Source organism: Homo sapiens, chromosome 7, assembly GCF_000001405.40.
Source record: "Homo sapiens chromosome 7, GRCh38.p14 Primary Assembly".
In the NCBI taxonomy this organism is placed as follows: Eukaryota; Metazoa; Chordata; class Mammalia; order Primates; family Hominidae; genus Homo; species Homo sapiens.
In genome coordinates this window covers 121,143,864-121,158,339 of record NC_000007.14, presented here as the reverse complement: position 1 = coordinate 121,158,339, position 14,476 = coordinate 121,143,864, and the positions used below count along the sequence as shown (strand labels likewise).

The following is a 14,476-nucleotide window of genomic DNA, read 5'->3' as shown; positions in this document are numbered from 1 at the left end:
GGGAAAGAGGATGTCAAAGACTCCCAGTCAGTGCAGCTATTTTGGGGGCTTTACACAAATCATTATTTTTTCATTCTGTACCACTATTGCCTCAGTCAAATGTATTTGTTTAATTTATAACAAACATGCAAACCCTTAAACAGCAGAACTTAATATAACAATTATCTCTTATATGTTGATACCATGACCCAATAATTACTTCCTATTTGCTGATTGGCTATTGAACATTTGCAGATTACCAATGTAGGTCTCATCCTTGGAGATATCACTGAAGGAGGGTTATTAAAGTAATGAATTATAATTGTGCATATAATGCATCCCTTTCATCAAAAAATTTTTTACAGTTTTTATATTTTATGATATCAAGACAATGCCACTAAGATTTAACCAGTAAGGGTATAGAAGAGCTAAGTCAATATTATAAAGAATATTCTAAAGAAGAAATGGGGAACTTTTTCAGCCAGGGAGGGTAAATTGTCAGTGAACTGGCAATCCTGCATTCATTTTACTCATTTTATTCATTCACTTTATTCATTTTCAGGAACTCAAGAACCGTGTCTAGGTCTGGATGCCGATAGCCCTTCTACATAAGGCACAACTACAAACTGCCAGCGGGTCTGATACCTGATTCATGGGTTCTCAACCTTACTCTGCTGGCAAAGTTCATTGACTGGCAATGAACTTTGGTCAATTATTGATGGTGGACTTTGGCAAATTATTGAGGTTTACTGATATGCAGGGTGAGGTGTTAGATGTCAAAGATCCTCCTAACTCCAAAGTTCAGTGTGACATTGGAACACAAGACTCACCAATGGCCTAACTATGAACTGGCTACTGGCCACAGAGCTACTGGTCAATCCTACAGCTAGAAACACACCCCGTTGCTCACACCCTCCTCTACTGGTATCTTCCCCATTAACAATGTTGGCCCCTCAAACCTTTTCCCCACACGTAATTGTTGCAGGGCTCCCTGGTGCACTCGACCCCTTTCTTATGACTGCCCCCGTCACTATATTAATGATATCGTATATTAAGTGGGCTTTTAAAGGCTTACCTAAAACCTAACCTCATATGTAAATTTACTTCTATACACGCACTAGAAATTAATGACAAGTTCCAAACAATAACCTACAAATTAACTCTTGGAGCCAAAACTCTATGTAAAGTATATACAGTTGACCCTTGAACAGCAGGAGGTAAGAAGAGGGGTGGTGGTTAGTAATGCCAATCCTCCAGGCAGTCAAAAATCCAAGTATAACGTTTGAATCTCCAGAAACATAATTGCTAATAACCTACTATTGAGTTGAATCCTTGCTAACATAAACAATTGATTAACACATATTCAACTGACAATACATATCAAGCAATTCAACTTTTTCTGTTATATCATGACTTTTCTCTGCTTCTTGGGAGCACTTCTAGCATCATTAGTGGTGGCACTTTTTATGGGTGCCCTGGTGTTATTCAAGTTTACAGTATTGCACTAAACACAATAAAAATATGTACGAGCCATGAGAGATCACATTTTATTTTTTAATTTTTTTATTTAGACAAAATATGCATATAAAATTTACTGTCTTTATTATTCTTAAGCATACAGTTCAGTGGTAATAAGTATAGCTATATTCTTTTTTCCTTCCATCCTCCTTCTATCATTTCTGGCTTCTGGTAACCATCACTCTATTCTCAATCTTCATGAGATGTATTTTTTTAGCTCACATATATGAACGTGAACATGCAACATTTGTCTTTCTGTGCCTGGCTTATTTCACTTAATATAATGGCCTCCAGTTCCATTCATGCTGCTGTAAATTACATGATTTCATTCTTTTTTATGGCTGAATAATATTCCATTGTGTATAATACCATGTTTTCTTTATCCACTCATCTGTGACAGACACTTAGGTTGATTCCATATCTTGGCTATTGTGAATAGCGCTGCAATAAACAGGAGAGTGCAAATATCTCTTACCTATATTGACTTTCTTTCTTTTGGATATATACTCAACAGTGGGCTGATGGATCATCTGGTAGTTCTATTTTTACTTTTTTGAGGAACCTCCATACTGTTCTCCATAGCGGCTGTTCTAATTTACATTCCCACCAACAGTGTGCCAGAGTTCCCCTTTCTCCACATTCCTGCCAGCATCTGTTATTGTCTTTCTGATAAAAGCCATTTTAATTGGAGTAAGATAATATGCCATTGTGATTTTGATTTGCATTTCTCTGATGGTTAGTATGTTGAACATTTTTTCACATCCTTGTTGGCCATTTGTATCTCTTGAGAAATGTCTTTTCTGATCTTTTACTCATTTTAAAATCAGATTTATTTTTTTGCTATTGAGTTGTTTGAGTTGTTTACATATTTTAGTTATTGAATCCTTGTTATATGGACACTTTGCAAGGCGTTTCTCCCATTTTTTAGGTTATCTCTTCATTGATTGTTTCCTTTGTTGTGCAGAAGCTTTTTAGCTTTATGTAATCCTGATTGTCTAATTTTGCTTTGGTTGTCTGGGGTTTTAAGGTCTTATACAAAAATCTTTGCTCAGACCAATTTTCTGGAGCACTTTTCCAATGTTTTCTTCTGCTAGTTTATAGTTTCAGGTTTCAGATTTAAGCCTTTATTGCATTTTGATTTGATTTTTGCATATGAGAAATAAGGGTCTAGTTTTATTCTTCTGCATATAGTTATCCAGTTTTCCCAGCACCATTTATTGAAAAGACTGTCCTTTCCCCATTATATGTTTGTGGCATCTTAAGTGAAAGTGAATTGGCTGTAAATGCATGGATTATAGCTGGGTTTTCTATTCTGCTCCATTGGTCTACACATATGTTTTTATGCCAGTACTATGATGTTCTTGTTACTATAGCTTTGTAGTTAATTTTGAAGTCCTGTAGTGTGATGTCTGCAGTTTTGTTCTTTTTACCAAGTATTGCTTTGGCTATTCAGGATCTTTTTTGGTTCCACATAAATTTTAGGATTGTTTTTCTATTTCTGTGAAGAATGTTATTGGTATTTTAATTGGGATTGCACTGAATCTGTAAATTGTTTTGGAAAATACTGTCATTTTAACAATATTAATTCTTCCAATCCATGAGCATGGAACATCTTTCCATTTTATTTGTGACCTCTTTTATCAGAGTTTTATAGTTTTCCTTGTACAAATCTTTCATTTCTTTAGTTAGATTGATTCCTAGTTATTTTATATTTTTATAGCTATTATAAATGGGGTTGCCTCCTTGATTTCTTTTTCAGGTTGTTTGCTGTTGGCATATATAAATGCCATTGATTTTTGTATGTTGATTTTGCAACCCGCAACTTAACTGAATTGTTTAGCAACTCTAAGTTTTTTGATAGAGTATTTAGGATTTTCTAGGTATAAGATCATGTCATCTGTGAACACAAATCAATAAACATGACACATTAACAGAATCAAGAATGAAAACCGTATTATTTCAATGCTGAAAAAGCATTTGATAAAATTCAACATCTCTAGGCCGGGCGCGGTGGCTCACGCCTGTAATCCCAGCACTTTGGGAGGCCGAGGTGGGCGGATCACAAGGTCAGGAGATCGAGACCATCCTGGCCAACATGGTGAAACCCCGTCTCTACTAAAAATACAAAAATTAGCTGGGCGTGCTGGCGCATGCCTATAATCCCAGCTACTCAGGAGGCTGAGGCAGGAGAATCGCTTGAACCAGGGAGCTGGAGGTTGTAGTGAGCCAAGATTGTGCCACTGAACTACAGCCTGGCAACAGAGTGAGACTCTGTCTCAAAAAAATAAATAAAATAAATAAATAATAAAAATAAAATAAAAAATAAAAAATTCAACATATTTTGTGATAAAAATCCTTATCAAAATGTATATAGAATGAATATACCTCAAAAAAATAAAGGCCATGTATGACAAGCCCACAGCTAACATTGTACTGAACAGAAAATTTAAAGGCCTTTTCTCTAAGGACTAGAACAAGACAAGGATGCCCACTTGTACCACTTTTATTCAATGTAATTCTGTAAGTCCTGGTCTCAGCAATTAGACAAGAGAAAGAAATAAAGGGCATCCAAATTAGAAAGAGAGATCCCTTTTTACTGTGATGCGCAATTTACTGGAGAGTTAAACTCCTCATATGGAGATGATTAGTGTCAGTTGACATTTTATGTGGATACTTGCAACACTTGAGCTCACTGCAATAACCAGCTACAAAATTATTACAGTAGCACAGTACATACTACAGTTCATTCTATGTAGTTTTGATTTAATACTTCATCTTCACATTTGTTTATATTTCTCTGGACTGGGAATGGCACCATGTATAGTCTGTAAGGGTTTGGTACATTTTGATACATTTTGACTTTCTATAACAGATTTGTATATATTTTATGGTAGTAAGTGATAAAATAGACTAGGATCTACATGTTTTATGCATTAATGACATACCTAACTTTTTCTTATTTTTGATGATTCTAGGCCAGATGGTTTGTGAGTTTTTTCAAATTGTCAGAAAATCTTCAAAAAATTTTTCAATATATTTATTTTTTAAAATCCGCTTATAACTACACCCATGTAATTGAATCCTGTGTTATGCAATGGTCAACTGTACTTACTTTAACAATCTTGTTTTGGTATGTGATAGAGTGGCTTATAGCTTGTAATTAGCAGTGCTCTGGAACCAGGACTTCTGGGTTCAAAAATGGTTTCTGCTACTTACAAGCTATGTGACCTTGGCAAGTTCTTTGTGCCTCCTTTTATTCATCTGTGAAATGGGAGTTATTAAAGTATCTACCTTTTAAGTGTTTGGTTTAGTTTTGAGAATTGAGTTAATAAGTGGAAAGCAATTAGAATAGAACCTAACACACAATAAGTGCTAAATAATTATCAGATGCAATGCATCTAAATGTTCTCAGGAGGGACAATTCTCTAATCCGTGAAGATGTATTAGCATTTGGGAAATATCTAAAAGTCATTTGGAATGAAATCTGATTTCAAAAAAGTGAGGAAGAGTTTAGCAGTTTTGGTTGAAATCATGTAGGCTAAGACTCATTTTCTCATTTAGTTGATTATAATATATGAACAAGTTTACCGTCTTTTAGAATAATAGTATTTTTTAGAGATTACAGATACAAAATAATTAAATTACATTATGATTATGCCTCATTCCTGATAAAACATAGGTAATATCTTTATCCTTTGCTACTAATTTATTAAAACAGCAGAGAGAACATTGATCCCCTCATCCTTATCCTTAATGGAATCTACCAAATGGAATCTTTGAAAGATGTTTCCGGTTTTAGTAAAGAAAGGTTTTCTCTCTTATTGTTAAATAATTCTTAAATTCCCAGTCTCTCTTCTGAGACCGCTAATAAAATGAAATCCACCATTAATCATGCAACTGTCAAAATTAAAATACATGTTTAAGGCAAAATTTACACTCAATTCTGAAATGTTTGTAATCACATTCATTACAAAAATGTACTGTATAATTTAGCACAGGTGATTCATGCTACAAAGTCCTTCATATTTTTGTATCTTATTAAATCTAAACTTAAATTTAAGAAATTTGAAAATCTCCAATACATTTTACTAGACTTCAATGGAAAAATAAAATTTGATGTTTTAAACTTTCCTCTTATGCCAATCTGAAGACATATTTTATTTATCTGTCTCTTTTAAAATATACATTTTGCAAACATGGATACTGGACTCTTTATGTGCCTAGGCACTGTTCCAAGATCTTCACAATATTAACTCAATTTTTCCTTAAAACTCCCTTAGAGCATCAGTATCATTACTATCCATGTATGACAGATGAGAAATTGTACAAGGTCTCTGACAAGTAAGGGTTGAGCTGTGACTGAAATCTAGACAATATAAATAGTATTTTGATCAAAGTATTTAAGAGGGATTATTTCACTCAAAGAAAATTTCTCCCTCCCTGTTATTTCTTAAACCTTTGAAAGCTGGGTCTCTTAACTTTATCAAGAATTTAATTTTAAAATAATTTGTCAGGTCAAGAAGCCCACATGCAATATTTATTTTCCAAATCATTAGGTCTGGAAAGATCATCTTCAAGCATGTGGAGGGGTGGGGAGCTGGGGGATGTGGAGGAGGTAAAAACCCAGCAAACACAGTGAACGTCTGTACCACATTGCTAAAGAATGAGGTCCTGAGAGCTGGAGGGCACTGGGTAGGGGCCTGCTCTGCTTTGAAGAATGAGGTCATGCTCAATGTTTTAAACTCATCAGTCCTGCCTATAAAAGGGTGTGGGTGAAAAAGAAAAAAAGGACAAATTAGCATCATTTTCAAAAGAAGTTAAATATGTCAGGCGGTAAAGTGTCCTAATTCTGTCTTCAGGGAACATATATCAAACCAGCCTGTAGTTAGTTCTGCAATCAGTGAAACCATCTGCAAGGAATACTCCATCCCCCAATCTTGTTCCTACAACACATGCCTATTGAAGGAAATGTCACATGCATGTGGAAATTTTCTCAGCATTACCTAATTGAAACATTGGGCCAACCTTTCTTTGAACAAAAAACAATTTGTTATAGCCTGCTGAAAGAAAGCACACCAATGGCTTTGACTAATGAGAACAATATAAATAGTCCAAATGATATACTGTTCAATTTCTCTGGGTTTTCAGGAGCACCATTACCTACAACTCATAACCACTTTTCAAGCCTGTAAGAAGAAAGCAAGGGCTAGTAGCCCTTTACAGATATTTATTTCTAAGGCAAATATTAGATTTGGTGGCAATTTGCTTTGAGAATTATATCAATTGTTGATTCTTTGTGCTAATACAGATCATTGAAAAAAGCACACAATTCCAAAATGTTATATTGTTAAATAGGCACTAATTTCTTTATCATTAAAACTACAAATGAAACAATGTGTATAAATGGTGCAGTTGCTGGAACAAAGCAAGTGCTCAATAAACTGAATTATAATCATGTATATTTTATGACAGAAATGAAACTGTCCTTATTATGTGTGTCACTGCTAGTAATATTCTGCTTCAGATTGTGAGTTACTAGGATAGGAATTTTTACCTGGCACTTTTCATACCTCTGACATTGTATACGGCATTGGGCATATATACGTACATTATTTCTTGAGATGAGGGGTCAAAACTTTCATCAGATATTCTAAGGGGCACACTGCCTCCTCCAAAATGTTAAGAACCACTGGCCCAGAGGAATCATTTGCTTTAATTTATCCTATATAGAGCCAAACTTTGTTTGATAAAGCCAAAAATATCCTTTAAAAAATACATCAGCCAGCCACTGGCTCATGCCTGTAATCCCAGCACTTTGGGAGGCCGAGGTGGGCAGATCACAAGGTCAGGAGTTTGAGACCAGCCTGGCCAAAATGGCGAATCCCAGCTCTACTAAAATTACAAAAATTAGCCGGGTGTGGTGGCAGGCGCCTGTAATCCCAGCTACTCGAGAGGCTGAAGCAGGAGAATCGCTTGACCCCAGGAGGTGGAGGTTGCAGTGAGCCAAGACTGTGCCATTGCACTCCAGCCTGGGTGACAGAGCGAGACTCCATCTCTAATAATAATAATAATAATAATAATAATAATAATGTTTTAGACTCGGTTTGGCTGTGGGAAAAGGACTTATAAAAATGCCCAACCTGAGGCTGCAGAGAAAAGGAAATACTTATGCTGTTGGTGGGAATGTAAATTAGCTCAGCCACTGTGGAAGACAGTTTGGAGATTTCTCAAAGACCTTAAAACAAAATTACCAATTGACCCAACAATACCATTACTAGGTATATATCCAAAACAAAAATTATTCTACCAAAAAGACACATGCACTTGTATGTTCATCACAGTGCTATTCACAATAGCAAAGACATGGAATCAACCTAGATGCACATCCACAGTGAAATGGATAAAGAAAATGTGATACATATACACCATGCGGAATACTACACAGCCATAAAAAAAGAATGAAATCATGTCCTTTGCAGCAACATGGATGCAGCTGGAGGCCATCATCCTAAGGGAATTGATGCAGGAACAAAAAACCAAATACCACATATTCTCACTTATAAGTAGGAGATAAACACTGGGCATACATGGACATGAAGATGGCAATGATAGACAATACTAGATGGGGGAGAAAGGGAGGGAGGCAAGGGTTGAAAAACTACCTCTTTGGTACTATGCTCATTACCTGGGTGGTGGGTTCAATTGTACCCCAAACCTCAGCATCACAAAACATACTCATGCAACAAACCTGCACAGGTACCCCCTGAATCTAAATTAAAAGCTGAAATCATGAAAACAAAATACTTCGTATCTAAGATCTCTTCTTTCACCACCATCCTCACTATGCTGGTATATACCTTTGCTTGAGTTAGTTTGGCTTGAGAAATGGGGAAGGAAGTGAAGAAAGATAGATAAAAGATAAAATTTTGGAGCAATTAAAGCCCATAAAGATGTGGGCATCAGGGACTGGCATTAATCAAAAAGAGGTTCCCTCTACTTCTGTTTTAGCTACAACCTGTTTCAAAGTTTCAAATGTCACATTGGAAATCCAGCTACTCAAGCAGAATATTTTAGGAAAAAAACCTCTCAGGTTCCTTTCTATTTCTGTGTCCAGTTCAGAAATCAGAAGACAAATTCTTAGAATGTCAAAACATAAACTTGAAGCAACAATGAGGGAATACTGCAGAGACAGTACTTACAGAAACTTCTCTGGATGCTGTCAGAAGCTAGGAAGACCCAATTCTCCTGCACATTGTGTTGGCTCTGCTGCTCTGCTGGGTAGCAAAAGTTTGCTTCTTCTAGCAGAGGAAGCAGATGTGAGTTGGAGAAACATGCAAAACAAATGTGTGGAGCAAAAGTTTTTATGTAAATGGTAATCTATCTGATCGTAAGTGGCATGACCTCATGAGGTGAGTGTTCAACATGACTCTTTTTCATCAACACAAAAGATAATTTATATAAGTGCTGAAACAGATCATGATTGAAAGAACATGCCACTCTGATCTTTGCTTGCTTTATAAGAAAACTGAATGTTAAACAAAACCTCCCAAGCCTTGGATGTGTGCAAATGCTTCCTGGCCACTGGGGAGGTCTATGCATTCAAAATGTCTCCGTGCACCTGCTGCTCAGGAAAATAACATTTCACTTCCCTAGGTGCTTTGTGGGCTCTTGGTAAATGATGGTAAAGGACGGCTCACTGGTAAAGGATGCCTCAGTCCATGGACAAAGAATCTGAAATACCTGCAAAGGTTATGCATTTAAATCAAGGGCACTTAACAAGACTTGAAAGAACGCCGACAGCCCAGGTCATTTGATATTGAAGTAGGTGCCACTGCTAAAGATCTCTTACCGTGAAACAGAAGAGTAGAACCAACTACTCTGTTAGGCACAGCAGCCACAGTGCATACAGCATGTGATATTTTAGGGGCCCCCAAATTTTTATTTTCTTTCAAAGCAGAAAGAAAACAAACTTTTCAGTCGGAGAAGACAGTCTATATCTGTAATATAAATACATTTGTCTTTATATCAACACTATTGTAAAATGTAATATTTATTTATTTGTTGGAACAAAGGGTCCACAAAGGGAAAAGTGACTAGGACCCACACATGTCAGGAATACAATCTATGGGGCAGCCCAGTTCACTCAATCTCATTTCTAACTCCCAATCAATTCTTCTCATCTCTCTTCCCCAATTCCCAACAAGTTCTTCCTGTCTGGCATCTTCAGTATTATTTGCTCCTATTTCTTTAGTTGTTCTCTTTCTTCCTCAATTTGAAGTCAGCAAGACTTATATTCAAACCCCACCTTTACTAATGATCTATTTCATAGAAAGGGTTGACAAGATTTCTAACCTTTCTAGAGCCTTAGTTTCTCCATATGTTAAAAAATAAGAGGAGGATTAAAAAATCACCTATGTTCAAGGTTGGGGTAAAGATTAAATAAGGCAAGAAGGTAAAGTGCCTAACATAATGCCTGGCACATAACAAAAGTTCTACAAATGCTTCATTGCTACTACACCTATTACCTCGGCTGCTGCTTTGCTGCTATTTGTATTCCCCTATAGCACATAGCATATTTCTCAGAACAAAGTGCATAGTGGGTACTTAATAAATGTTACTAGTTGAGAGCACTTCACTATAGCACATATTGTATTGTTGAAAAATTAAATCATATTCCTCTGGTAAATTGAAGTAGGCAAGGTAACTAATAACCATTAAAATAGGTATTTAATTGACAGTACAACTTTGAAAACTAATAGGTTTTTATTAAATAATTACTGATAAATGCACTCCCTATTCTCATTATGGATATTTGCTATTAGATAACTATCACTTGAGCTATTTTATAATAGCCCTCTATGGTGTTGGAAGGGTACAAAAAAATAAATGAGAGAGTTCTAAACCATTTCAAAATATCATAACTGAAGTCATTCACACATCATTTAATATCTCAGAATCTAGATGGCTAATTGATTTTTTAAAAATAAGTCATCAAATGCCAGTTTCAAATGTGTAGCTAAATGCTGGAGAATTTTTTAAATCCTATTTTCCCCTTCCTTAGTATTATCTGTTTTAAAATGCAAGCTGTTTCAAACAGATCTGTGAAACATAGTCTCCAAGCTTCTCCTATATATAACCTTCCTGTAGCTTTTATTTATGACCCTATTCTGGTGCAACATTTTGAGGGCAAAATGTATATGATACCATAGATCATCTATACAAATCAACTTGTGTGAATATTATATTGTTCCCCATGTCAAAACTTTTTGATATGGAAAGGGGTATTAAAAGAAACATTCCCCTATGTGTATAGCAATTTTCTTATAAGTATATTTTATTAATTCCTAAACACTACATATTCTAGCCACAATAACAGTTTATTACTTTCTAAATCTTTCTTCCTAACAGCAAAACATTATACTGTTTATGGGTAAATCAAAATGAAATAACAGACTCATTATATTATATAATGTTTTATGTTTCATTAATGATCTTTTCTGTAATTGAATGCATGCTTCTGATTGTAATAATTACATTGGGCAGAAAAGAAGGCAGATTAATGAATAGAATAAAGAGCTGTCAGAATAGTATCACTGTCTACAGAAATGATTTAAAATACAAAGATGAAAGATAAGAATGATTCTCCAACATACAACACAGAAGGATTACCCATAAATTATTCACACTCCTAGTAAACACATAGGACAGTAGAAATACAGAAACCCATTTGTCTAAACCAGTGGTTCTCAATCAGGGTTGACTTTGTCCCTCAACAGACATTTGGCAATGTCTGAAGACAGTTTTGGTTGACACATCTTGGGGAGGGGGTTGCTATAGGAATCTAGTGGATAGAGGCCAAGAGTGCTGCTAAACATCCAACAATAAAGAGAATAACTTCCCTGGAACAAAGAAATATCCAGCTTCAAATGTCAACAGTGCCGAGATTGAGAAACTCTAATCCCAATCTGGTTATATGTTATGTAAATTAACTCTTTCTCCTTCACTGGTAATTAACTAAACTAAGAGCTAATTAAATTCAGAGCCGTCTCTGGGACAATTATATACAAATTCTAGTTAGCATAAAAATAACTAAAATACAGGCATTAAATAAACTCAAATAGTTCATTATGGCTAAGTTGGTACTTAATAATGTTTGATAAAATGTCTATTAATAAATTAATCAAATTATCTTACTATTTATCAAAATGTTATTGTAATTGATTTTTTAATTGACTGGTATGCTTTATCTTTGCTTACTCTGCCATGCTAGTCTTTTGGCAAAATGGTAACATGCAGAGTTGATGCTCAGAAGGTAAGAGAATAGGGGAAGGAGAAATTAGGAGGCTTGATTAATCTTAAATTGGTTTCTTCTTCTTTGGTTATTTGGAAGTGGATGGCCTTTTAAGTTTGCTGTAGTTTGAATGTCCCCAAAATTCATGTGTTGAAACTTAATCCCCATTGTGATGGTATTAAGATTTTTCGGATGTGATTAAATCATGAGAGTTCCACTCTCATAAATGGATGAGTGCCTTATAAAAGTGCTGGAGGTAACTACTTTAGACCCTTTTGCTGCCCTTTGCGTCTTTCCCCATGTGAGGACATAGAATTTTCCCTTTTTGCTCATTTCCCGCTTCCACCATGTGAGGATGCAGCACGAAGAACCTCACCAGACACCAAAGGCCGGTGCTTTGATTTTGGACTTCCCAGCCTCCACAACTAAAGGAAATACATTTCTGTTCTTTATAAACTACCTAGTCTCAAGTATTTTGTTAGAGCAGCACAAATATGTTAAGACAATGTTTATTTAAAATTTAATAATGGGGTTCATTAGGCCAAAATCTAATTTGAAATGTAGGGAGAAATTATAATTTTTCCCTTTGACCTATAAATAAAATATAATAAAAGTTTAGTTCATTTTCCTTTAGATTTGCCTGCATAGGCTTTGGGGATTTAAATGTAACAGCTTGCCATTTAATCTGCAACAGTTTGACTCTAGATTTCAGCCCTACAAATATAGTGAGGACACTGTGGTTGTTGACAGAAAGGAAAAAAAAAAAGAACAGCTTGGAAAAGTAAAAATTTGTAAATCTCATTGATGTATATCTGCTTAGCTATTAATTTGAAACCTAAAGACACTAATGAGATTAAATATAAAAGAGAAATAATAGAAAAGTCTATGGGTTAGAATTTTAAGTGGAATCTATGGTGAGAAAATTTTACCCCTGCTGTTGACTTCCCCCAGCTCATGAAGCCACTTGTGCCTAGTAAAGTATCTAAAGCAGTCCACATTATTCACGCCACATTTTTGTGTTCACTCATTTGACACTTTCTAAAAAGTACTAGTGCTTATCAGATAATTTTCCATGTTATAAAATATAATACTTACTGTGGGACCACACATAAACTGTAAATTAAGACCTTGTGGAAAGGATTCTTATAAATTACCAACATACTTTTCTGCAATTATCTGTAGGATTCATCCCACAAGAATTTTCTAATACTTTTCTTGATATTACAGTAACATTTTCCTGACGTAATCTATTCTTTAAGGTAATGGCATGATAATTAACTTGTTTCTGATCAATACAACATTGGAGAAACGTGTCATGGAAGAAAGGAATATATAACTTTCCCACCAATCTTTTTTCCTAATTTATTGAGGTATAATTTATATGCAGTATACATAATTTATATATATATATACACAAATACACATGTATAGTTGATATATTGTATAATTTTAAACAGTAGATTGCAAAAATCTTAAATGCAGTTAATTAAATTTGTATCTATCTATATAGCACCTAGTTATATATGTAACCAGCACCCAGATTAAGATATAGGACATTTGCCCAAAAAATTCCCTCATGCTTAGTTGTACCTACACCTTCTAGTAACTGCTATTCTGACTTCTATAAACATAGATTAGTTTTGCTTATTCTTGAACTTCATATAAGTGAAATACAGTATTTCTTTATATATCTGGCTTCTTTTAATTTTTTTTGTTTTTAATTGTTGTGGATACATAATAGTTGTATATATTTATGGGATACATGTGATATTTTGATATAAGTATACAATGTGTAATGATCAAATCAGGGTAATTGGGATATCTATCACACCTCAAGTATGTGTCATTTCTTTGTGTTAGGAACATTCCAATTCCACTCTTCTAGTTGTTTTGAAATATGCCATGAATTACTGCTAACTACAGTTGCCCTGTTATACTATTGAACATTAGACCTTATTCCTTCTATTGGTGTTTTTGTGCCCATTAACAACCACTCTTCATCCCAGCCTCTCCACTGCCCTACTCAGACTATGGTTAACCAGCATTCTACTCTTTATCTCCATGATATCCACTTGTCTTTGGCTCCCACATATGACTGAGAACATGTGATATTTGTCTTTTTGTTCCTGACTTATTTCACTTAATATCTTCCAGTTCCATCCATGCTGTTGCAAATGGCAGGATATCATTTTTATGGCTGAGTAATACACCATTGTATATATGTACCACATTTTCTTTATCCATTCATCCATTGATGGACACTTAGGTTGATTCCATATCTTGGCTATTGTGAATAATGCTGCAACAAACATGGGAATGCAGATAGCTTTTCAATATACTGATTTCCTTTATTTCAGAAATATACTCAGCAGTGGGATTGCTGGATTACACAGTAGTTGTATTTTTAGTTTTTTGAGAAACCTCGATACTGTTCTCCACAGTGGCTGTACTAGTTTACTTTCCCACAAACAGAGTACAAGGGTTCTCTTTTCTCCACATCCTTGCTAGCATTCATTATTGATGTCTGGCTTGTTTTTATGAATGTAAGGTTTTGAAGATTGTTTCATATTTGTGTGTATCCATACTTCATTTATTTTTAATGCCCCAATAGTATAATATTGGATTTGTTTCCTTTCTTACTGAATTTTTTTCAACTTTTAGCTACTATGAATAAAACCAATACGAAGA

The 14,476-nt window shown here is 35.0% G+C and overlaps 1 protein-coding gene and 1 long non-coding RNA gene across 6 annotated transcripts in view; one reads left to right on the top strand and one right to left on the bottom strand.

The window, feature by feature from the left end:
- CPED1 (cadherin like and PC-esterase domain containing 1) overlaps positions 1-14,476 on the bottom strand; it is a 308,732-nt gene that overhangs the window by 139,103 nt on the left and 155,153 nt on the right. The window lies entirely within an intron of this gene.
- LOC124901735 (uncharacterized) overlaps positions 1-14,476 on the top strand; it is a 122,886-nt gene extending 108,410 nt beyond the window's left edge. Inside the window, exon 3 of the long non-coding RNA XR_007060494.1 lies at positions 1-14,476. This exon is cut by the window's left edge and continues 22,325 nt beyond it. This is a non-coding gene — a long non-coding RNA (uncharacterized LOC124901735).